The sequence below is a fragment of the Homo sapiens genome, chromosome 17 (genome assembly GCF_000001405.40).
Source record: "Homo sapiens chromosome 17, GRCh38.p14 Primary Assembly".
NCBI classification, from domain to species: Eukaryota; Metazoa; Chordata; class Mammalia; order Primates; family Hominidae; genus Homo; species Homo sapiens.
The window spans coordinates 18,731,577-18,756,876 of NC_000017.11; the positions used below are offsets into that span (position 1 = coordinate 18,731,577).

Below are 25,300 nucleotides of genomic sequence, written 5' to 3' on the forward strand. Positions count from 1 at the left end.
CCTCAAATGATCCGCCCACCTCGGCCTCCCAAAGTGCTGGGATTACAGGTGTGAGCCACCGTGCCCAGCCAAATGTCTCATTTTCAAAGCCATGCTTCAGACAGGGTATGTTACTAATGGACTCTCATCTTGATGATTTTCTTTTACAATTGAGACCCAGAGAAGGACACTTAGTCATGCTTATATTATGCCATCGGCTGGCATTTCTGTGAGTAGCTTCCCAGGTTGCTGATGCCTATACTTTTAAGTTAAATCCAAGACGGTCTGGATCACTTTTTCAGTGGTTTATGCCTTACCTATGAAAGAAATGTAGTCTATTGAGCGTATTTCTGTGAAACATTACCAGGCTTCAGCCCCTTCTTTCCCCAGGAAGCCCAGGGAAGGGTGGCTGGGAAGTCCTGATTTGCAGATTCTCCTGACCACCTGGACAGGTGTGCATTCACAACTCTCTTGATTTTCTAGAGGAGTATGACATCAGAACTCAAGTGTCTGCCATTGTTCAGCGCAAATATTGGACTTCCAAACCTGAGCCCAGCACCAGGGAACAGTTCCTCCAATGTAAGTTGTGAACGGCACCCCCTTCTCCAGTTGTTGATATCAGTGCAGTGCTTTGCTAAGTCAGAACCGCCATCTCTCATCTAGGTTTCAGGTTCTTGCAACTTCATGTCTATCCCTAAATGATACATTTCTTAAAATTTAATTTAAACAATTTTTTTAACTTTTCATTTTGAAATAATATGAAACTTACAAAAATATTACGGAAATAAGACAAAGAATTCCCATATATCTTTCACTCAGTTTCTCCTAATGTTAACACGTTACATAACTACCATACATTGATCAAAACCAGGGAATAACATTGCTACAATGCTATCAACTAATCTACAGAATTTATTCAGCTTTCACCAAGTCTTTCATCAATGCCCTTTTTTTCTGGCCCAAAGTCCAATCCAAGGTCACAGATGTTTCCATGTCTTCTTAGTCCCCTTCAGTCTGGATCAGTCTTTCAATCCTTGTGTTTCATGACCATAGCACTTTGAAGAGTCCTGGCTAGTTACCAAGTGATTCATTTCTATGTATGACTTGGCCAGAATTGCATAACTCATTGACCTATCATTAAGTGTTATTGACTTGGTCCATTAGCATTTTTAAAACACTGCACAGTTGACCCTTGAACAATGTAGGGGTTGGGATACCAATCCCTCATATGGTTGAACATCCACGTGTAGCTTTTGATTCCTCAAGAACTTAACTAGTAATAGCCTTCTGTTAATTGACATAAACAGTCACTAAACACATATTTTGTATGTTTACATATATATACATGTAGACATATATATATGTATGTATGTATATTTTTTGAGACAGGGTCTCTGTTGCCCAGACTGGGGTACAGTGGCTTGATCATGGCTCACTGCAGGCTTGACCTCCCACACTCAAGCAGTCCTCCTCCCTCAGTCTCCTGAGTAGCTGGGACCACAGGCGCATGCCACCACATCTGGCTAATTAAAAAAAAAATTTTTAAACAATTGTAGAGATGGAGCCTTGCTGTGTTGCCCAGGCTGGTCTCAAACTATTGGCCTCAAGTGATTCTTCCATCTCAGCTTCCCAAAGTGTTGGCATAAGCCGCTGCACCAGTGAGAACTTTTTTAATTATGGGATTGTTTTAATAGCCTTTAATATGCTAATTCATTTGGCAAGTATATACTGAGCATCTTCTCTGAGCTAGAGAAGAATCCCATGCAAAATGTGAAGCTCATAGATTAGAGGGAGGACAAGCAGGAAACAAACACTCACATGAATATCTATTATTACAAATGGAGAGGGGTGCCAAGTTTAAAACGCCATGGTGCTCTGAGAGAGAGTGAGTTAGAGTCACAAAGGGCCTCTTCGAGGACATGAACTCTCAGTTGTAGCCTGAATGGATTGGTAGGAATCACCAGACTCAGAGTAGGGCATGATCACATCTCAGAGGGAACAGGCTGTACCAAAGGCTCAAAGAGGATTGAGTGTTGAGTAGGTCTGAGGTCAGCACGGTGGAAATGTAGTAATCAAGGGAGAGAGTCAGAGACACAGGAAAGGACCAGGGACGTGGGGCCTGGTAGGCCAGGGCAAGGGGTTGCTGCTTTATCATAAGAGCAAGGGGCACCATGAATAACTAGAATTATTAAGCTAGAATAACACGACTGGCCTCAGCCTACAGCTGGAAACAAGCAGCATGGCTCTGTTGTGGAGAAGGTCTTGAAGGGGGCAAGAGAGAACAGCTAACGACCAGTCAGAAACCCGCTGAACTAGTCTGAGTGAGATGAGTGGTGGCTTAGGTCGGGGGTAAAGCAGGGGGCTGGAGAGAAGTGGTAGAATCCGTAGGAGTTACTGCTTCCTGTGTGTGTAGTGAGGATAGGGGAAGAGGATGAGGGCAAAACAAATGTCAGAAATGACATAGAGCTTGACTTGAGCAATGGGGTGCATGAGACCCTATTATTCTTTGGGAGTGGGAGGAGAATATGAGGGCGTGTTTGAGAATTCTTCATGCTCCATTTGATCCATTCATTCATTTTTAAGATGTTGGTTAAATATTTTAAAAAATGAATGAATGGGCCGGGCGCGGTGGCTCACGCCTGTAATCCCAGCACTTTGGGAGGCCGAGGCGGGTGGATCATGAGGTCAGGAGATCGAGACCATCCTGGCTAACAAGGTGAAACCCCGTCTCTACTAAAAATACAAAAAATTAGCCGGGCGCGGTGGCGGGCGCCTGTAGTCCCAGCTACTCGGGAGGCTGAGGCAGGAGAATGGCGTGAACCCGGGAAGCGGAGCTTGCAGTGAGCCGAGATTGCGCCACTGCAGTCCGCAGTCCGGCCTGGGCAACAGAGCGAGACTCCGTCTCAAAAAAAAAAAAAAAAAATGAATGAATGGATCAAATGTGGGTATAGGAGTACCTGCTTCCCCAAACACTTGCCAACACTGGATAGGATAATGCCAGGCATTCAATACGTGTTTGTTGAATGAATGAATGAATGCATGAATGAGTAAATTAATATATTTCTTGATTCGGTTCATCAAATAACATCATCAATGTCAAGCAATTTGAGCTTCATAAGGGAAGGGAGTAGATGATTTGTGCTCTCTGTTTTCTGGTCTTCACTCACCTCATTTCCTAGGGAAACAGCAGCCTGGGTAAATAGAGAACAGAGAAATGGATGTTTTCTCATATGTGCTTTGGAGCCCAGCTGGGTTTAAAGCATTCTGTCTGAATCAGCTGTCAGTTCCTGAACCACTCTCCTGCCTTCTGTGTCTCCTCAGATGTGCATGACATCACGTTCGACCCGGACACAGCACACAAGTATCTCCGGCTGCAGGAGGAGAACCGCAAGGTCACCAACACCACGCCCTGGGAGCATCCCTACCCGGACCTCCCCAGCAGGTTCCTGCACTGGCGGCAGGTGCTGTCCCAGCAGAGTCTGTACCTGCACAGGTACTATTTTGAGGTGGAGATCTTCGGGGCAGGCACCTATGTTGGCCTGACCTGCAAAGGCATCGACCAGAAAGGGGAGGAGCGCAGCAGTTGCATTTCCGGAAACAACTTCTCCTGGAGCCTCCAATGGAACGGGAAGGAGTTCACGGCCTGGTACAGTGACATGGAGACCCCACTCAAAGCTGGCCCTTTCTGGAGGCTCGGGGTCTATATTGACTTCCCAGGAGGGATCCTTTCCTTCTATGGCGTAGAGTATGATTCCATGACTCTGGTTCACAAGTTTGCCTGCAAGTTTTCAGAACCAGTCTATGCTGCCTTCTGGCTTTCCAAGAAGGAAAACGCCATCCGGATTGTAGATCTGGGAGAGGAACCCGAGAAGCCAGCACCGTCCTTGGTGGGGACTGCTCCCTAGACTCCAGGAGCCATATCCCAGACCTTTGCCAGCTACAGTGATGGGATTTGCATTTTAGGGTGATTTGGGGGCAAAAATAACTGCTGATGGTAGCTGGCTTTTGAAATCCTATGGGGTCTCTGAATGAAAACATTCTCCAGCTGCTCTCTTTTGCTCCATATGGTGCTGTTCTCTATGTGTTTGCAGTAATTCTTTTTTTTTTTTTTTTTGAGACGGAGTCTCGCACTGTTGCCCAGGCTGGAGTGCAGTGGCGTGATCTTGGCTCACTGCAAGCTCCGCCTCCCGAGTTCAAGCAATTCTCCTGCCTCAGCCTCCCGAGTAGCTGGGATTACAGGTGCCTGCCACCACACCCAGCTAACGTTTTGTATTTTTAGTAGAGATGGGGTTTCACCATGTTGGCCAGGCAGATCTCAAACTTCTGACCTCGTGATGCACTCACCTCGGCCTCCCAAAGTGCTGGGATTACAGGCGTGAGCCACTGCGCCCTGCCTGTTTGTAGTAATTTTTAGGCACCAAATCTCCCTCATCTTCTAGTGCCATTCTCCTCTCTGTTCAGGTAAATGTCACACTGTGCCCAGAATGGATGACCAGGAACCTTCAAGAGTGGCTGAAAAGATTGCAGAGTTATCATAATAAATTGCTAACTTGCGTATTTCCTATGTGCCAGATACCGTTCTTGTGCTTCCTGCACATTAACTCAGTCCTCACAGAACACCCATTGGGTAGATGCTTATATCATCCTTATTTTGCAGATGGAGAAACTGCGGTCCGGGGCAGTTAGCTAATTTGTTCAAGGTCACTCTGGTCACATGGTGAGTGAGGGGCAGAGCTGGGATTCAAGTGTGGGTAGAATGACACTGGACTTTTAACCACCACATCATATTGCCTTCCTTTATTTTATTTTATTTTATTTTATTTTTTTTGAGACGGAGTCTCGCTCTGTTGCGCAGGCTGGAGTGCAGTGGCACAATCTCGGCTCACTGCAAGCTCCGCCTCCCAGGTTCACGCCATTCTCCTGCCTCAGCCTCCCGAGTAGCTGGGACTACAGGCACCCGCCACCAAGCCCGGCTAATTTTTTGTATTTTTAGTAGAGACGGGGTTTCACCGTGTTAGCCAGAATGATCTCGATCTCCTGACCTCGTGATCCACCCGCCTCGGCCTCCCAAAGTGCTGGGATTACAGGCGTGAGCCACCGCACCCGGCCACCTTCCTTATTAGATCATGGACATTGTATAAAAGGGAATAAAATGCATAGCAGAGAAACTTCTTGAAGTTTGCAAATCCACACACAACATCTGACTCAGCCATCCTGCCTTGCACTGGCTCACTGCCTCACTGCCTCACACAGCAGTCCTTTCTATTTGGGGACAGCAAGGATTAGAAGAAATGTCTTAACAGTGTCTGAGTTTTAGTCCCTGTGACCTCTGGAAAGGGGCCCTACTCCTCTCCTCTAAAGTAACCTGGAATATGTGGACTTGTCTGATTTCTCATTCAAAGAATGGTTCTTTTAAGAACTGTCACGTAATACCCACGCCCCAGGTGTTCTTGTTTTCATATGAAATTTTCCACCTTCCTTTATGGTTCTCAGTCCTTTCCCCCTGATTATTTCATTCTTCTTTTGACAGATAAGCTTCCTAAGATTAATCACAAGCATTCATCAAGCCTTTAGGCAAATGGCAAACTGTCTTTAAATGGGTTTCTGAAGCTATAACCTGAAGTCTCTGGTGGGATTCACCAGAAATATAAATTTTGAGTCTGTTCCTGTGACCTTTGTCAAGGCAAATCTTTTTTTCTCCAATCAGTCTGATTGGCCTGTCTCAAGAGTATATTACTTTAGCATAACTTGACTTGTTACCTATATTTGTATCTAAGGATGTTTACAGTATAGGATTTAAAATGATTTTACTTTAATTTCATCACATCATTGCTTTATGCTGAGATACTTGAGATTCATGATTCCTTATCCAGTATATTCGCTCTCCTTCCTAGCTTAGTGTCACCTGCACAATTAGTAACCCTTCCTTTTTTTGAGACGGAGTCTCGCTTTGTCCCCCAGGCTGGAGTGCAATGGCACGATCTCGGCTCACTGCAAGCTCCGCCTCCTGGGTTCACACCATTCTCCTGCCTCAGCTTCCCGAGTAGCTGGGACTACAGGTGCCCACCACCACGCCCGGCTAATTTTTTGTATTTTTAGTAGAGGCGGGGTTTCACCATGTTAGCCAGGATGGTCTCGATCTCCTGACCTTGTGATCTGCCTGTCTCGGCCTCCCAAAGTGCTGGGATTACAGGCGTGAGCCACCCCGCCCGGCCATAACCCTTTCTTCTTAAGTCTTATCCTTGTTGATAAATATATCGAGGAGATTAGGACCAAATCTAGAATCTTGTGGCACTCAGTCAGTAGCTTCTAGGTTTAATTATATACAAATTATGCACGGGTGGAACTGTGCAATAATGTAGCCCCACCTTTTTCACCTTTATCCACTGAACATGATGAAAGACATTTTCAGTGGCAGAAATCAAGATATACTATGTTTAGGCTGGGTGTGGGGACTCATGCCTGTAATCCCAGCACTTTGGGATGCTGAGGCAGGAGGATCACCTGAAGTCAGAAGTTTGACACCAGCCTGGCCAACATGGTGAAACCCTGACTCTACTAAAAATACAAAAATTAGCCGGCCATGGTGACACGTGCCTGCGATCCCAGCTACTCAGAAGGCTGAGGCTGGAGAATTGCTTGAACCCAGGAGGTGGAGGTTGAAGTGAGCTGAGATCATGCCACTGCACTCCAGCCGGGGCAACAGAGCCAGAAAAAAAAAAAAAAAAAAAAGATATGCTATGTCTGAACTTCTTTGATCTATCTGTCTAATAATGAGCTCAAGACAAATTGGGATCAGCTTGGACTGCCTTATTTTATTGAATCCCTGCGGGTTGTTGGTGCTTGGTCATGGTCATTTTCTTTTCTAAATGTTCACAAAATATTTGATAAACCACTTTAGATTTCTGCTGTGGGTTAATACCATGTTTACCAGTCTGTTGTTTCCAGAATCTATCTTATTTTTATTTTTAAAAAAATCGAGATGCCTGTCTGCATTTGATACAATTTGGATATTTGTCCCCTCCAAATCTTATGCAGAAATTTGATCTCCCATGTTGGAGGTGGAGCTGGGTGGGAGGTGTTTGGATAATGGGTTGGATCCCTCATGAATGGCCATGAAGACACCATGCTTCTTGTATAGCCTGCATAACCATGAGACAAATCAATTTCTTTTCTTCATAAATTACCCAGCTTCAGGTATTCCTTTATAGCAACACAATGGGACTAAGACACCGTCCTCTCTCATTCTCCCTAGTTTCTCAAAGATTCCCACCTGATTTGCAGTCATGTCATTAAGTTGTGTCAGATTCCTGAAATGTAATTTACTTAGACCAGAATACTTGAGCTTATATAAAAGGAACCATTTAGGTGTCTCTTTACTTGTCTTGAACTTCATTTTCCTGTTAACTTTTTGTCTATTAGCTTTCAAGTTCAAGACCTTTCTTCTTGATATGGAAGAGCAAAGCAGAATTAAGAGTTGGGCATATTTGGGCCGGGTGCGGTGGCTCATGCCTGTAATCCCAGCACTTTGGGAGGCCATGCCTGTAATCCCAGCACTTTGGGAGGCCAAGGCAGGTGGATCATCAGGTCAGGAGTTCGAGAGCAGCCTGACTAACATGGTGAAACTCTGTCTCTACTGAAAATACAAAAAAATTAGCTGGGCATGGTGGTGCGTGCCTGTAATCCCAGCTACTCAGGAGGCTGAGGCAGGAGAATTGCATGAACCCGGAGGCAGAGGTTGCAGTGAGCCGATATTGCACCACTGCACTCCAGCCTGGGTGACAGAGCAAGACTCCGTCTCAAAAAAAAAAAAAAGAGTTGGACTTATTTGCCTTCTGTCACTGCCTCAAGCAGTGGGCGCATCTTTTTTCTTTTTCTTGGTCTAAAAACTGAAAAATGACTAAAACAAATAGAAAAAAAATAGAACAAGGGTTTATTTTATATTCTCTGGCATTTTCCTTAGCTGTGTGTATGCCACTCTTTTGTATTCACCCATCCTTATCTTTTCTTCCATTATGTAGACTTACAAAAAAAAAAAAAAACACTGAACAAAAATCTGAATTCACCAAGAGCTCACTTTGGTGCCACATGATTCTGCTCCATTACCAGACCATTTGTAATTGCAGAGTCAGAATGTAATTTTAACCACCACGTCCATAATTTATTCTTGTCTCAACTTTTTGAAATCTGAGTGTATATAGCATTCCTTTCTGAGTATCTTATGAATTATAAGTAAATTCCCACTTTCTCCCAAGAGGCATGATGAAATGATGACAATGGGATTGGCCCAATCACGGAGCTCTTATCCCCTCAGTCTGGCTCAGCATGTTTTTGGAATGATGTCCCTAAATTAAGTAGACTAAATATACGTGGCATTTATAATGCGCAAGCTGCTGTGCTAGACGCTAAGAAAGAGTAACCCAGGAACTAACTAGCTGTGTCATTTGATCACAAGAAGGGGATTTAAACTGAAGTAAAACTGTTCATATGTGAAGAGCTAAATAGGAATCTGCTCTTCAAGACAATAATAGACAAGGTGATGTATGAAACAGGTTTCTCACTCTGTGTCCTAGGGTGCTGCTGCGTTTTCGCAGGCCATCTTTAGGGACTGGCTTCTGTCTTGTGTCCTTGAGTGACCTAGTCCCTGGTTTCCCCCCATCTGTGCAGCCACTGCCTCCATTCCAGGGGCCACCACTCCAGCCCCAGATGAAAGATGGAAGAAAAGGTAGTGCATGTCTTTCCTGCTTCTCCTGGCTTCCTCAGATTTCAGCACTGACTCCCTCCCTCTGCACCTGTGATTAGACATCTTGGCAGCTGGGGAGGAGGCCCTTGCAGGGCAACCTGCTGTTGATATGCCCCCAATATGTCCATGCAGGGCACAGACTGTGCATGGCTCGGGTAGAGTGTTGGCCATCCCTGCCTTGCTGGAATGTGCCTAGTTTTTAATCTCTATTTCTGGCTTGCTCTGTAGTCTTGTTGGGAAAATCCCACTGTCTCCCAGAAGGAAGTAGTCCAAGTACTGGAAAAGGAGGGAGAACAGATCATTTCATAAGGACCAAGGGTCAATATAGCAGTGGTCAGTCATTTTAGGTGAAAAACCTTTCCCCCACATTAATAACTTAAGTAGTGACCCTGATGATCACCTGAAAGAAAGTGTGTATATATGTGCATGCGCTGGTTTCTCATGAACAAAAGCTTTTTAAATTTTTTTTTCTTTTTTTTTGAGACGGAGTCTCACTCTGTCGCCTAGGCTGGAGTGCAGTGGTGCTATCTTGGCTCACTGCAAGCTCCACCTCCCGGGTTCTCACCATTCTCCTGCCTCAGCCTCCCGAGTAGCTGGGACTACAGGCACCCACCACCACGCCCAGCTAATGTTTTGTATTTTTTAGTAGAGACGGGGTTTCACCGTGTTAGCCAGGATGGTCTCGATCTCCTGACCTCATGAGCCGCCCACTTCGGCCTCCCAAAGTACTGGGATTACAAGCGTGAACCACCGCGCCCAGCCAAGCTTTTTAAAATTCAACTTCCAACAAGTGTAATACCACATGATGGGAAGGCGAGAGATGAGATATCACACTTTTTCCACACTCCCTAATGATACTAATAATAATTGTTAGCTCCTCACATGGTGTAAAAGTCTACTCATTTGACCCCGACAGCCACCTATGAGCTAGGTAGGACCATGGTCTCTACTTCATGGAAGAGGAGCAGGCTGAGACTAGCAAGTGAATTATTCAGGCATATGAAGCTGCTCCGTGGCAGAGCCCAGTTCATTCCTTGCCCTCCTACTCTGAAACCTGTGTGCTTTCCTGAGTCCCTGCTGGCTGGCCAGGCCAGGTGGCAGCAGGGGAAGGCAAAGGGGCTGGGCTGGAGCCAGCAGAGGCTCAGGTCCTCTGGTGCAGTGTCAAGTGTGACATCAGAGCCGGATGGGTGTGACACATTGTCCTCTATCTGGCCCAGCAGCGGCCGCACCTTCCAAGCTTCTCCATACTATGTGGGAAGGCAGGAAAAGCAAGTGCAGATTTAGGGTTGTGTGCTGAGGAGGTTTTATCGGGATCGTGAATAAAACAGGGCAGAAAGGAAAGATAGGGGACTGGCATGAAGCCTCCAGGCTGCTCGTAGCCTAAATACTTGAGAGGTCGCAGATGTCCTTCGCATCCTATAGCCTTCCTCGGAGAAGTGCTCTCCCCCACTGGACTCCTGTGAGTCGGTCTGATGAGGCCTATTTGCCCACCTGCCTGTTTGAGTACCACTGGCGCCATGTCCCCGCATTGGCCTATCCCATCTGGCCCATCTATCCTGCCCTGTGCCAAGGCCGCATTTTTTTTTTTTTTTTTTTTGAGACAGAGTCTTGCTCTCTCGCCCAGGCTGGAGTGCAGTGGCACATCTCCGCTCACTGCAAGCTCCGCCTCCTGGGTTCACGCAATTCTCCTGCCTCAGCCTCCCGAGTAGCTGGAACTACAGGCGCCTGCCACCACACCCGGCTAATTTTTTGTATTTTTTTTTTTAGTAGAGATGGGGTTTCACCGTGTTAGCCAGGATGGTCTCGATCTCCTGACCTCGTGATCCGCCTGCCTCAGCCTCCCAAAGTGCTGGGATTACAGGCATGAGCCACTGCGCCTGGCCTAAGGCCACATTTTTAACTGTAACATCAGATCCCAAATGGCTTCAACTTCCCCCCAAAGTCAGGTGTATGGCCCAACCTCTGAAAGGTGCAGGCCAGCAGGAGGCAGGGAGGAAGGGAGTGAGGCGCTGTCCTCTCGCACTCACTTGCTCTAGAGCACCCCTTGTCCCTCTATTCTCAGGAGGCAGCCCGTTGTCATCTTCTCAAAGAAGCTGTTTAGAAAAGGAGGTGCCGAGGGGCAACAACATACTATGGTCCACAGGTGTTTGAGGAGAACCGTGTGTGTGCAGTGTTGAGGGAGAGGGGATAAGACTCATGTCTGAAATCTAGTCTCTCTGACTCCCAAGTTTGTGGCCCTGAAATGTGAAATAAAGACTGAGTTGGGTGATTAAAACTGCTTCCTTGGCCTGGGGTGGTGGCTCACGCTGTAATCCCAGCACTTTGGGAGGCTGAGGCGGGCGGATCACTTGAGGTCAGGAGTTTAAGACCAGCCTGGCCAACGTGGCAAAACCTCGTCTCTACTAAAAATATAAAACTCAGCTGGGCATGGTGGCCCATGCCTGTAATCCCAGCTACTCGGGAGGCTGAGGCAGGAGAATCACTTTAACCCGGGAAGCAGAGGTTGCAGTGAGCCGAGATGCCACCACTGCCCTCCAGCCTGGGGGATAGAGCGAGACTCTGCCTCCAAAAAAAAAAAATGCTTCCTTGAAGAATGTCAGCCTCATAGATTAAAATCCTAATTTATTTAAATCTTTAAAAACAAGCTATTTATAATCTGTCAATTATAAATAAACAAGTTAATTACGAAAAAAAAAAAAGAGCTACTTTTAGCTTGCAGCACTTCTTAGGGTAACGTGCTCGCCTTACAGATCCAAAGAGTCTGCTTCGGGCCTCCCTTCTCTTTGCCACCCTCCTTTGTCTGGCCTTCCCGATTAATTAAATATTAATCTACTCATGCCTTTTCTCCAGATTCCTCTTCAGACAGAAGAGGTTGAGCTGTGAGAACTGATCTCATTCTTAACCTGATTCTTATTCCCCATTCTGACCCTAGTATGTGACTGCCATTGCCAACAAAACCCCAGCGATGGACTCCATTACCTTTCTCTGGTTGTGCCTGGTCTTTCAACATGGGCATTAGAAAGGCACACAATATTGCAAACCTTTTGATTTTATCTAGGGTAATAATACTTAGTAACAGTAACAATAGCAGCAACAACTGATCTCATATATTTAATGCAATCCTAGAAGGTAGTTATCATTTTTATTACCCACCTTTATCTTCTCCATCCTCATAACTAGGATGGAGACACTGAGGCTCAGAGAGGACAGGTTGCCTGCTCGAGACCATATAGCTCCTAAGTACCAGAGTCAATGTTTGAACCGAGTCTTACCTGCAGTAGGAGAATTATCTCAGCATGACTTTGAAACTCTTTCTGTGAGCTGCCCAATATGTTTTGCCTGGGCCCTTTGACTACAGTGAGATTTCTGGTTAGTATTGTGAAGCAGTTAAATAACTTAAATTTACATTAAACATTTCTGGTTTTACTTTGATGATGACTTAAGAAAATGAATATAAACATATTTAGCATCATTGGGATAGCCAGTTTGTAACTGAACAGATATAAACATAAGAAGTTTGCATCTTATTTTATATTCATGAATATTCAGAAGCCATATATAACAACAATAATTAAAGTGCAATACCAGTAATAGTCCACATATTACTTAAATTTGACTAACAGTATTCTTGTTGTTCTAGAAATGAGATGACCAGCTCTTTCAGAATATACAGCAACTGCCTCCACATAAAGCAGTGCCAGGTTTAGGAGATTTACGGTAAAGCCATGTTTCCAAGGAGGTCTGTACAAAAAGCCAGACTTCTGCTGGCAGTTACTGAGAGAGATAGGCTTTCCATCCATGGCAGCCATTTACTTTTGCTCTGGGAGACGTTTGTAATAGAAAAGGCACAACTGGGGTATTTATTCATTCCCCCCGTTCCTCTAGTGTTTGGTGGCGTTGCCGTTGCAAGTGCGCAGGGCTAAAATGGACTGGTTATCTTAGGATCATGGAAAACCTGGAATCAAGGCTCAAGAATGCCCCCTATTTTCGTTGTGAGAAGGGAACCGATTCCATCCCTCTATGCCGGAAGTGTGAGACGTGTGTCTTAGCCTGGAAGATCTTCTCTACCAAAGAGTGGTTCTGCAGGATCAATGACATATCACAGAGGAGGTTTCTAGTTGGCATTCTGAAGCAGTTAAATAGCTTATATTTGTTACACTATTTCCAAAATATCCTTCAGACCACACAGGGAAAGGATTTCATCTATAACAGGTCCCGGATCAACCTCAGCAAGAAAGAGGGGAAAGTTGTGAAGTCCTCCTTGAACCAAATGTTGGATAAAACAGTAGAACAGAAGATGAAAGAGATCTTGTACTGGTTTGCGAACAGCACCCAGTGGACCAAGGCGAATTATACTCTCTTACTGCTGCAGATGTGCAACCCCAAATTACTGCTCACTGCTGCCAATGTGATCAGAGTCCTGTTTCTGAGAGAGGAGAACAATATCTCAGGTAAACAAGGCCACAGGCAGAGACTAGAGGGCCCCCGAAGACCAGAAGGCAAGGCTTCAGAAATCTGTAAGGAACTGCAGTTGTAGACAACATAGGTAGACAGAGATTGCACAGAACTCAGCATAGGTTTTTTGAACTGACACCTTGTCCTGACACCCGATCCTGTTTACCAAAGGAGAAATGACTGAGTGTAACTTCCTTCTTGAAAATGATCAATGCAGGAGGAAGTACACAACTTTTAACTCACAAGCATTTATCATGGATTTCTGCATCTCATAGGCCCAGAAATGGCTGGTCCCTGCCCCTGACCCCTTAATGCTGGTGTCGTTCCTGCTTTAGGGATTGGACTGAGCTCGAGAGGGTTGTAAAGGGGAAGCTTTTGTTTTTCTCTTCAGCTGCCCTGCACAGAAACCAGACCAAGAAGTCAAAACTTAGGGCTTTTTTTTTTTTTTTCATTCACTCTACCATGCTCCTTGCTTATCCATGAAATGAAACCTTAAAGTAGAGTTTCTCCAAGGCTGGAGATAGCTTAAGGGCCAAATAAGTCTAGGGTGGTAGTTCTCCAGCTGTGGCTTGTATCAGGATCTCCAGCAGGACCTGTTAAAACAAGCTCCTCCCCCAGAACTTCGGACTCAGCAGGTCTGAGGTGGGCCCAGGATTCTGTATGTCTTTTCTTTTTTTTTTGAGATGGAGTCTCGCTCTGTCACCCAGGCTGGAGTGCAGTGGTGCGATCTTGGCTCACTGAAACCTCCACCTGCTGGGTTCAAGCAATTCTCCTGCCTCAGCCTCCCAAGTAGCTGGGACTACAGGTGCGTGCCACCATGTCCTAATTTTTTTGTATTTTTTAGTAGAGATGGGGTTTCACCATGCTGGCCAGGCTGGTCTCGGACTCCTGACCTCGTGATCCGCCTGCCTCGGCCTCCCAAAGTGCTGGGATTACAGGCGTGAGCCACTGCACTCGACCAGGGATTCTGTATTTCTAACAAGTTTCCAGCTAGTGCTGATGTTGCTGGTCTGGGGATCTGTCTTTGAGAATCACAGGCCTAGGGTGTTGGAGAATCTTGGAAGTGTTTGGCCAGATAGTTCAGGGAAGCAGAAGAAACAATAAGGGTGGTGTCTGTTTTGCTTTGCTATAAAGGAATACCTGAGGCTAAGTAATTTATAAGGAAATTTCTAAGGAAAAGAGTTTTATTTGGCTCACAGTTCTGAAGACTGTACCAGAAGCATGGCACCAGCATCTCTTTCTGGTGAGGGCTTCAGGAAGCTTCCACTTATGGTGGAATGCAAGGGAAATCAATGTATCATGAGGCAAGAGAAGTAGCAAGAGAAGGGGAGGGGTGTCAGTTTCTTTTAAACAGCCAGCTCTTGCTCGAACTATATTAATAGAGCGAGAACTCACTCATTACTGTGGGAAGGGCACCAAGCTATTCATGAGGAATCTGCCCCCATGACCCAAAAACCTCCCATCAAGCCTTACTTCCAGCACTGGGGGTCACATTTCAACATGAGATTTGGAGGGGACAAATATCCAAACTGTATCAGGAGGCAAGAGAATTGAGCTTTGGAGGGGTCCAGGAGTGGAAGGTCCAACATGGGGAAGCTCAGATTTAAGCAGAGGTGGGAGAAAGCTGGGAGGGGGTGGTCACATGGAGGCGTTTTGGAGTTTTAGCTCTTGAAGGTGTGTAATTCCTGTCACCAGTGCGACCTGACAGGTGGTCATATTTGTAGACTAGTGGAATCCAAAAGAATTTTAAAGCTGGATGGCCTAGGACACAATTAGATCACAATATATGTCACTTGATTTATTTGGTGTGTCAGGGGTATAGAAGAATGATAATATAGAATGAAGACACAGTGAATCCTAGGGTGTCAAAAACAGTAAGTTAGACTGGAGATCAACCGACTTAATATCCTTAATATTTACATAAGGAGACCAAAGTCCAGGGCATCTGACTTTGCTTAGGTCACCCACCACGTGGGCTGAAAACCAGGATCCCCTCCTGGGCCCCTTCCACTCTGGAGTGAGTGCTGCCAGCAGCGGAAGGCCTGGCTTGTACACACAGATGCAATGCTCCACAGTGCTCTTCCAAAACTTCATCCCATTCACCATAGGAATGGGCTATTTACACTGGAGTTGTGTTAAGTCCTATTACAGGTTGTGGCAACCTTCTTTTTTTTTTTTTTTTTTTTGAGACAGAGTCTCACTCTGTTGCCCAGGCTGGAGTGCAGTGGCCTGATCTTGGCTCACTGCTGCAAGCTCCGCCTCCCGGGTTCACGCCATTCTCCTGCCTCAGCCTCCCGAGTAGCTGGGACTACAGGTGCCCGCCACCACGCCCGGCTAATTTTTTTTGTATTTCTAATAGAGACGGGGTTTCACCGTGTTAGCCCGGATGGTCTCCATCTCCTGACCTTGTGATCCGCCTGCCTCAGCCTCCCAGAGTGCTGGGATTACAGGCATGAACCATCACGCCGGGCCAACAACCTTCTCTTTTCTTAGAGCAGATTCTCTCTTAAAAAATTAAATGTTCTGGTTGGGCGCAGTGGCTCACGCTTGTAATCCCAGCACATTTGGAGGCCGAGGCGGGTGGATCACCTGGAGTCAGGAGTTCGAGACGAGCCTGGCCAACATGGCGAAACCCCATCTCTACTAAAAATACAAAAAATAGCCAGGTGTCATGCACTTGTAATCCCAGCTACTTGGGAGGCTGAGGCAGGAGAATCACTTGAACCCAGGAGGCGGAGGTTGCAGTGAGCCAAGACCGAGCCATTGCACTCCACCCTGGGCAATAAGAGCAAAACTCAGTCTCAAAAACCAAAAACAAACAAACCAAAAAAAAGTTAAATGTTCTATTTTGACTCGAGGGTGGTTATTTCTATCATTGAAGAAAATTCAGCTTGAGCTTCCGAAGAGCATTCCCTGTTGCAATTCCTGACCTCGACTCTCTCTCTCTCTGCTTGTATAAACAACTCGAGAAATTTTACAATGGGGGCGTGCTGAAAAGCTAACAGGAAGCTTTCTGAGATTTTTGCATAGAAGTTTGGAGGCCCCAAATAAAAACAGACATAACTGCTCTGGTCCATTCTGTACATCTTTAAAAGAAGGAAGAAAAAATGAAAAAGTTTCTCTCCACCTCATTTTCCTCAACACACCCGCTTCAAGAGCAACCTTGTCTTGGTCTTCTGTGTTTCAGGGCTCAATCAAGACATCACAGATGTGTGTTTTTCCCCTGAGAAAGACCACAGCTCCAAGTCTGCGACCTCACAAGTCTATTGGACAGCCAAAACTCAGCACACATCCCTTCCTTTGTCCAAAGCCCCAGAAAATGAACACTTGCTTGGGGCAGCATCTAACCCTGGTAAGTGAACTTTCAGCAAGAAAGCCAATATGGGCTAGGTGCGGTGGCTCATGCCTGTAATCCCAGCACTTTGGGAGGCCGAGGCAAGCAGATCATGAGGTCAGGAGATCGAGACCATCCTGGCTAACACGGTGAAACCCCGTCTCTACTAAAAATACAAAAAAATTAGCCAGGCGCAGTGGCAGGCACCTGTAGTCCCAGCTACTGAGGCAGCAGAAGGGCGTGAAGCCGGGAGGCAGAGCTTGCAGTGAGCCGAGATCATGCCACTGCACTCCAGCCTGGGCAACAGAGCGAGACTGTCTCAAAAAAAAAAAAAAAAAAAAAAAAGAAAGCCAATATGCAACCAATGTGAGATTGGGAAGACCCAGTGGAACTGGAGGGGCTGGCAGGGTGATAGCATCTGGGGATGGCAGATTTGAGGAACTCACATTCATTTAGCATCTACAATGTGCTGGGCTCTTTGACATTACTTTCCCATCTAATTCTCACAGCTGGTAAGGGGAGGAGCAAGGATTAAATTGATCAATATGGCCCCCAAACCCATATTTGCACCTCTCCGCTGCAGTGCCCACAAGACACATCTGAAGATAGAGATCAGAAAGGAAACTATCAATGATTTCCTTTGGAGTCTTTCTCTGCTCTGGGCCACAATCCATTGTCTAGTCCCTGGGCTCTGGCATGGTGGCCAGCTCTAGAATTAAACCCACCAATGGCTATTTTTGCAGTATTGGATTCAGTCTTGAGGAGGGAACAAAATTAATGGGGAATTTGGTTCCCCACCTCAAGGCACTCCAAAGTTGGGAACTGAAGCAAGACATATACATGAAATATCATCGGAAACACAATATCATAGGAAATACAAGGCATAGATTCTAAAACACTTTTATATGGAAAATTTCAAATTTCAAAAGTATGTAGAACAGTATGATAACCACCCACATAGCACTGGCTTCAACAATTATCAACACTTTACCAATTTTATTCCATTCATTTCCCCCCCTTTCTTAAGTTGTTTAAAATTTTTTCTTGTTGGAGTATTTTTAAGAAAATTCCAGGCACAATATCATTTCAGACTCTGATACTCTAGACTTCTCCTTGGGCTGAAAAAGCTGAAAAGTACATGTATATATGGGTCAAAAGATTCTATTCTCGGCCGAGTGCGGTGGCTCACGCCTGTAATCCCAGCACTCTGGGAGGCCGAGGCGGGCGGATCACACGGTCAGGAGATCGAGACCATCCTGGCTAACACGGTGAAACCCCGCCTCTACTAAAAAAAAAAAAAATACAAAAAATTAGCCGGGCGTGGTGGCGGGCTCCTGTAGTCCCAGCTACTCAGGAGGCTGAGGCAGGAGAATGGCGTGAACCCGGGAGGCGGAGCTTGCAGTGAGCCGAGATCGCGCCACTACACTCCAACCTGGGCGACAGAGCGAGACTCCGTCTCAAAAAAAAAAAGATTCTATTCTCAAGTGGCAGAAGAGATGACAAAAATCTAGTGGCCTAAGGTTAGAGTCTGAGGAGGTTTATTTTCTGGGAGAGCTTTTGGTGGGGACTTGTTCTTGGCCTGGAGTTTCTACAGAGCCAACTCAACCACGTACCTTTCTCTGGCTTCACTCTAGAGGAACCATGGAGGAATTCACTCCGGTGTATATCCGAAATGAATAGGCTGTTTTCTGGAAAAGGAGACATAACCAAGCCAGGGTACGATCCCTGCAATCTATTGGTTGACCTGGATGACATCAGAGACCTGTCTTCTGGGTTCAGCAAATACCGAGACTTCATCCGTTACCTGCCCATCCACCTCTCCAAGTACATTCTAAGTATGCTGGGGTGTATGAGGGGATTTCCCAGACACCTCCCCTCTTGGCCCAGTTCTGGGGTTTCTGGGTCCATCTTTTTTTTTCCAGGAATGCTGGATAGACACACCCTGAACAAGTGCGCCTCTGTGAGCCAGCACTGGGCCGCCATGGCTCAACAGGTCAAGATGGACTTGTCAGCGCACGGCTTCATTCAGAACCAGATTACCTTCTTGCAGGTACTTCCTGCAAGTCTGAAAGGGGAATGTCTGAGACCAGCTTCATTTTCGTGTTGAGGCTGATATGACTGTGGACCTTTCAGTAAACCCTTAGCTGGCCTCCTCCTCTACATTTGTGGCCTTTTAGGCTTCCTGGGTCCCTTCTTTTTGGTCCAAACTCCTGTTAATAACTGAGTACTCTTTCATTGTCAGTGCATCTCACAAGGACAATAGGGATAGAGACCGCTCAGGAGCAGAGAGACAGAGCCTTTCCAACACCTCACAAAGCAGAGAACCCCCAGCCCCCAGGGAGTTATATTGCAGCTTATGCAGCAAGAAAGCCATAAATGTGTCTCTGCATCAACCTCATATGGAGCACAGATGTTTATAAGGCTGCAAAGTTTTTTTTTAAGTTAAAATGAAATTTTCCCCAATGGCAATCTTCTCCAGCATTTTTACTTCTCAGTTTCTTGCCAGAAGTCTCACCCTAAACCATGGATTTTGGTAACTTGGATTTTTTTTCCCCCAGCAGAGAGGACAGAGGATGAGAAGCAGCAGCTATGGTGAGGCTGGCGACAGTCTGACCGTCTTTACTGGTCCCCCTGTGGCATTTGGTGTTTATTTTTCTCCTCCATTCGATCTGCACACACTGCCAGAGGAACTGGCCAGAAGTGGGCCTGCCTGCTGCAGCCAGGGCTTACCCATCCTTCACATTTTGCCAAGAACTAGTTTTTCCCTTCCTCCTGCAGAGTTGGAGCCAAGAGAAGCCATTTTCTGTTTTTATTTTTATTTTTTATTTTTTGTCTTTTTCCAGGGGTCCTACACAAGAGGAATTGATCCTAATTATGCCAATAAGGTTTCTATCCCAGTTCCTAAAATGGTAGATGACGGGAAGAGCATGCGTGTGAAACATCCGAAGTGGAAGCTGAGAACGAAGGTGGGTTCCAACAGCATCTGGGGCAAGTAGCTGTGAGCGTCTCATTCTAATTGTCATTGAAGGCTGAGGTCCAGACTCAGCCCTGGAGTGAGGACAGAGGATCACGGCAGGTGACACTCCTTAAGGAAGACGAGAGTTCTGTGTTGCTACTGACTTACAAGACACTTCCTCTTTTTTTTTTTTTTTTAATGAGATGGAGTCTCGCTATGTCACCCAGGCTGGAGTGCAGTGGCACAATCTTGGCTCACTGCAAGCTCCGCCTCCCGGGTTCACGCCATTCTCCTGCCTCAGCCTCCTGAGTAGCTGGGACTACAGGAGCCCGCCACCACGCCCGGCTAATTTTTTGTATTTTTTTTTTAGTGGAGGCGGGGTTTCACCGTGTTAGCCCAGATGGTCTTGATCTCCTGACCTTGTGATCCTCCCGCCTCGGCCTCCCAAAGTGCTGGGATTACAGGCGTGAGCCACCGCGCTCAGCCCGACACTTCCTCTTCTTAAGCCTTGCTTTACTCATGTGTTGGATGGGTGGATTGATTTGGTTGTCCTCTCAGGGTTCTTCCTTACTTCAAAGCCCCTGGCCGTGTTTTGTGTCCATGGCACCAGGTCATTTAGTGGCAAGTTCAGAGGCCAGGAGCAACCCCATCAGCCCATGCCTCTGGAGGCTCCAGCATCTGCTGCTCAGGAATTTGAGGAGGACCCGAGGGGAGGGCCAGGGCTGGTTCCAGAATGCCTAGGGCCTAGACGAATTCGGCTCCCTCATCCCTCACTTCCAGGTTTACTCTGGCTCTAGGATGGAAGGGGAGAGTTAACTAAATATAGCCCTTTCCACTAGTTCTTGGGCAATAATGAAGAGTGACCGGAAGACTCTTCGAGCTCTTTGCTTTGACTATCAAGGCATGGTTGATATTCCTAAAACCATTAGATTTCTGCCCCCCACTCTGCTTAAAGTCTATTTTAAAGTCTATTTAATTGGCCCCAAAAGGATAGTTGATGAGGGATGGTTTGACTGTCGCTTCCCATAAGGCAGCTATGTTAAATTAGAATTTGAGAAACAGAAGCATCCAGAGAGAGCATCTAGCTCATATGACCTGTAGGGGCCAGGCAGGTGACACAAAGGAGGAGACGGGTCGTGTGGGCAGTAGCGGACGGTGTGGCTGTCATGGACTGGACAGTTCACCTGCATCTGAAGGGCCAGCTGCTCATCAGTTCTGGCTAATTATTGTCTTGAGAGATTGTCTTGAGGCCCCTGACCTGCTAGACCATCTAAGTCTTGGAAGATAGAAACCTGAGGTATTATGTGAAATCTCTTGCTTTTATTAAATGCTGGCAACCATTTAAAAGCAGTTTTAAAAACTACATAGGCCAAAGAAAACACATTTCTGGGCCAGGTGCAGCAGCTCACGCCTGTAATCCCAGCACTTTGGGAGGCCGAGGCGGGCGGATCACTAGGTCAGGAGTTTGAAACCAGCCTGGCCAACATAGTGAAACCCTGTCTCTACTAAAAATACAAAAAATTAGCCAGGCATGGTGGCAGTGCCTCTAGTCCCATCTACTCGGGAGGCTGAGGCAGGAGAATGGTGTGAACCCGGGAGGCAGAGCTTGCAGTGAGCCGAGATTGCGCCACTGCACTCCAGCCTGGGTGACAGAGTGAGATTCCATCTCAAAAAAAAAAAAAAAGAAAACACATTTCTGGATTTCCTTTGACCTGCAGTTTTTCATTTCTGAGCTGGTCCCTTCACCCATTTTATAGATAAAGAAACTGAGGCTCAGAGAGGTCAAGCTCTCCCAGCCAGCTGAGTGAAAGAGGCATTCATTTGAACGTGGACCTGTTTTTGTTTTCAAGTCTGTTGCTCTTTTAAGTATAACACAAAGAATACCCTTCTTCCTTGGGTGATACAGTCAGTAATGGCCCAACAGAAGGACTACCCAGCCAGTGTTTGACATTCTAGGAATGTTTTGACAGAACTGGACTGTATTGACAGAATTGTACTGTCATCTTGGACAAACACCGCCACTTTAAGTTCCAGGTCCCTTTCTAGTCTCATGCATTTCAAGGAAATCTCTTCTAACTACAAGCAGCCAGAAAGAACAGACAGTAAAACACAGATAAGACATCTAGGGCACAGAGGGAAGTGGGGGGACAGTCTCTTGGGTAACTACCAAACTTCACCCTCATACAGTGGGCCTGAGTAAAACAGTGGGCCATCATGAGCACATTCCTTTCCATTCAAGTGCACTAAGATAGTGAAGCTAAAGCAGACTCGGGGGTATGCCTGCAGCTGCAGAAAGATGTATAGGGACAGACACACAACTCTCCCTCCCAGATAAGCACAACAAAGAGACACAGAAGCAGTCCAAGCATCTGATAAACTCTCCCACCCTGAATCCTTAAAGACTCTTAGTCTGTAAGAGAGTGCGGCTTCTAATGTAACTCGGTCAGAATTCCCTCCCAGATTTGAAATAAACCTGTTGACTGTCAAGCCACCCTTCGCCTTTCTCTCCTCTTTCTTTAATTCTTACATGTGTAATTTAAGAAAAGGGGCCAGGCGCAGTGGCTCATGCCTGTAATCCCAGCACTTTGGGAGGCTGAGGCAGGTGGATCACCTGAGGTCAGGAGTTCAAGACCATCCTGGCCAACATGACAAAACCTTGTCTCTACTAAAAATATAGAAAATTAGCCAGGCATGGTGGTGCATGCCTATAATCCCAGCTACCCGGGAGGCTGAGGCAGAAGAATCACTTGAACCTAGGAGATGGAGGTTGTAGTGAGCCGAGATCACGCCACTGCACCACTCCAGCCTGGGCAAGAGAGCGAGACTCCATCTCAAAAAAAAAAAAGAAAGAGAGAGAAAAGGGAGAGAAGCAGAGAAGCAGGTGAAACAGTATGGAGAACACATGAAATAGCAAGACTAAGCAGTTACAGAGTCTCCTAGGAAAAGCGGAGGTGAGTGCTTCTCAGGGTGGTGAGTAATAGCATGAGTGTAAACTGTGTGCCTGATGCCCGCAGCTCTGCATACAGCATTTACTTGATTTCACCATAGATCGAGGAGGTGTTGTTGCTCCCAGTTTATGGATGTGGAAATGAAGGATATGGTGTGAGAAAGTGGCCGAGGTCTCACAGCTGGGCAGTGGCAGAGCTGGAATTTAAACTCAGGTCTTTCCCTTCCCAATGACTCCACCATGTGGCTTCTTGGGCTCACAAAACTTAGGAGATGAGCAAGGGCCAATGAATTCTCACCTGGGTTGGGAGAATCCAGGGCAGCATTATTTAATTCAGGCTGGGATATGGAAAACTCCCTGGACACTGGAGGGGAGGCAGGTTGGCAGATTCTTCTGAGCAGAGATAGACTACATGGTTAAAGATTAAGAAGGAGAGGGAGCAGAGGAAAGAGGGCATCTGAGGAAGAGTCTAAAGGCATGGAGCAGAAGGCTAAGGTTTGGAAGGAGACTTCAGAGATGTCCCCAAGAGGACTCTCAGGTGCAAACATGATGCTGTGTTCTTCTTTGCCTTCAAGATAAATATATTCTGCTTTTTCTTCCTGCTAGTCTAATGGGACTGTTATTTCTGGCTATTTGAGGATAGAATATGGCAGGGAATATAAATGGAACTGAGAGTCTAGTTCAGTCATCTATGCCAGAATTTAGCATGTCTGGAATGCCAGAAGGTGTGTGATAGAGGAAGCAAAGGAGGGAGGGAAGGAGGGAGGAGGAATGAAGGCAGGCAGGCAGGAAGGAAATAAAGAAAGATTGGGAAGCAAATGAAAGCGCCCTTGTCACGACTTGATAAAATTGATTTCCTTTCCCTGAGTCCCAGATACCTTATCTGTAAAATAATGAGAACATTTTGTGGGGCAAGGGATCTACTTTGTAAGGCAGCTACAAGGACAAATGAAAGTTGCAGATGTATGAAAACTTTGAAATGCAAATGCAGGCTGGGCGTGGTGGCTCACACGTGTAATCCCAGCACTTTGGGAGGCTGAGGCAGGCAGATCACCTGAGGTCAGGAGTTCGAGACCAGCCTGGCCAACGTGGTGAAACTCCGTCGCTGCTAAAAATACAAAAATTAGCCAGGCGTGGTGGCACATGCCTGTAATCCCCACTACTTAGGAGGCTGAGGCAGGAGAATTGCCTGAACTCGGGAGGCGGAGGTTGCAGTGAGCCAAGATCATGACATTGCACTCCAGCCTGGGTGAGAAGAGTGAAACTCCGTCTTAAAAAAATTGCGGCCGGGCCTGGTGGCTCACGCCTGTAATCCCAGCACTTTGGGAAGCCGAGGCAGGCAGATCACAAGGTCAAGAGATCGAGACCATCCTGGCTAACATGGTGAAACCCTGTCTCTACTAAAAATACAAAAATTAGCTGGGCATGGTGGTGCACGCTTGTAGTCCCAGTTACTCTGGAGGCTGAGGCAGGAGAATCACTTGAACCCAGGAGGGCGGAGGTTGCAGTGAGCTGAGATCGCACCACTACACTCCAGCCTGGCGACAGAGCGAGACTCCGTCTGAAAAAAAAAAATGCAAATGCATAGCATAGCATGTGTAGCAGTAATTTCACAGTTGGCTTAAAATCCCCTGAGTGTGCTTTGTACTATCACGTAGATGTAATATACATATGACGTTCCGACTTCTGTGAAATGGTCGGTCAAAGGGCACCTGTGACTTTATGTTGTGAGGATACCCTTTGTGAGCTGATTTTTGAAAAAGTTGTGTTATTGGTGACATTTGGAATTCAGCCTTGAAAGTTCATGGAATCAGGGCACATGGAAAATCAAAGAGATGAAAGAAGAATTAAGAACCTTGACCCAACATTTTCTAACTCATGGTTTCCTTTGGTGCTTGCTCACTGGCTGCTCCCTTCTCTGCAGAGCAGCAGCCTCAGCCTTCAGAGGAAGAATCCGTGAGCCCTGTGCCCTTACCAGGGAGACCCTAGGGGCTCTGGGACTGTGGGTATTTGAAGTTACCACTGAGCTTTAACTTCAAATATTCCCTTGTTAGAATGAGTACAACCTGTGGACTGCATACCAGAACGAGGAAACGCAGCAGGTCCTGATAGAGGAGAGAAATGTTTTCTGTGGGACCTACAATGTTCGCATTCTCTCTGACACGTAGGTACTGGGGTCAGAATCTGGGTCTCTAGGGATGCTTGAGTTACCCACACTGACATTTGGGATTTCCCTGACCTTTGTGTACATGGAAAGGCAAGCTCTCCTCACCTCAAGCTCCAGCCCTAAACTTGCACATGATCCCATGTAGACAATACCTGCTTCATTTTGCACCATTCTTGGCAGTGGGTAAAGGACACTTTCCCTTTCTAAATTTTGGGTATGCTGACCAACAACCTTTTGCACAAGTCACACATAAAATCTTTATTTTTTGAAATATCTTTATTTTGTTTTATTAATTTTAGAAATAATATACGGTTATTGGAAAAAATCTTTCAAATGCCAGAAAATGTATAGAGAAAGGCAAAGTTTTCCTGTAGTCTATCACCTAGCAATAACCACCATTAATATTGATGTCTACCCTTCTAGAATTCTTTTCTTTGCATACTTAGCACATATTTTAGTAGAAGTGGTGTTATATTACACATATTTCTGTAACCCAGCCCAGCAAAGTACTATAGATATCTTCCCATGGTAAATATGACAATCGTATTTATAATTGCATACTCTGACATCATTTCAATATGCTGAGAGACGAAGTTCCTTTAATAAGCAACTTTCTGCCATATTTTGGGCCTAGGACTTCACTTTATATTCACAAGGTTTTGCAAAGTCCACTTCTACTTTATTTTTGGCCATGAATCTTATTAACAAATTGCATCTTG

The 25,300-nt window shown here is 46.1% G+C and overlaps 1 protein-coding gene and 1 pseudogene across 26 annotated transcripts in view, besides 1 other annotated feature; both read left to right on the forward strand.

Annotated features, from left to right (window-relative positions):
• TRIM16L (tripartite motif containing 16 like (pseudogene)) overlaps positions 1-4,536 on the forward strand; it is a 38,115-nt pseudogene extending 33,579 nt beyond the window's left edge. For all 8 annotated transcript variants that reach the window (NR_172637.1, NR_172634.1, NR_172638.1 and 5 more), the window contains 2 exons: positions 463-558; positions 3,301-4,536. The product of NR_172637.1 is annotated as a tripartite motif containing 16 like (pseudogene), transcript variant 3 (transcript). The remainder of the gene's footprint in view (positions 1-462; positions 559-3,300) is intronic.
• Positions 4,537-12,477: 7,941 nt separating this feature from the next.
• The window catches only part of FBXW10 (F-box and WD repeat domain containing 10), a 35,296-nt gene continuing 22,473 nt past the window's right edge, over positions 12,478-25,300 (forward strand). For 10 of the 18 annotated variants that reach the window (XM_017024020.3, XM_047435121.1, XM_047435122.1 and 7 more), the window contains exons 1-5: positions 12,478-13,239; positions 16,365-16,529; positions 18,146-18,561; positions 19,355-19,477; positions 24,469-24,578. In XM_017024020.3, the coding sequence (XP_016879509.1) occupies positions 12,669-13,239; positions 16,365-16,529; positions 18,146-18,561; positions 19,355-19,477; positions 24,469-24,578 (1,385 nt within the window). In that variant the 5' untranslated portion in view covers positions 12,478-12,668. Of the gene's footprint in view, positions 13,820-16,364; positions 16,530-18,145; positions 18,562-19,354; positions 19,478-24,468; positions 24,579-25,300 lie in introns of all 18 variants that reach the window. The other 8 variants (NM_001267585.2, XM_047435129.1, XM_047435131.1 and 5 more) reach the window with 4 other exon arrangements.
• Positions 15,040-15,334: an enhancer, noted in NCBI's record as "tiled region #2370; HepG2 Activating DNase matched - State 5:Enh". NCBI's record gives its function as "activates a minimal TATA promoter and a strong SV40 promoter by Sharpr-MPRA in HepG2 cells {active_cell/tissue: HepG2}" and the evidence as "EXISTENCE:reporter gene assay evidence [ECO:0000049][PMID:27701403]".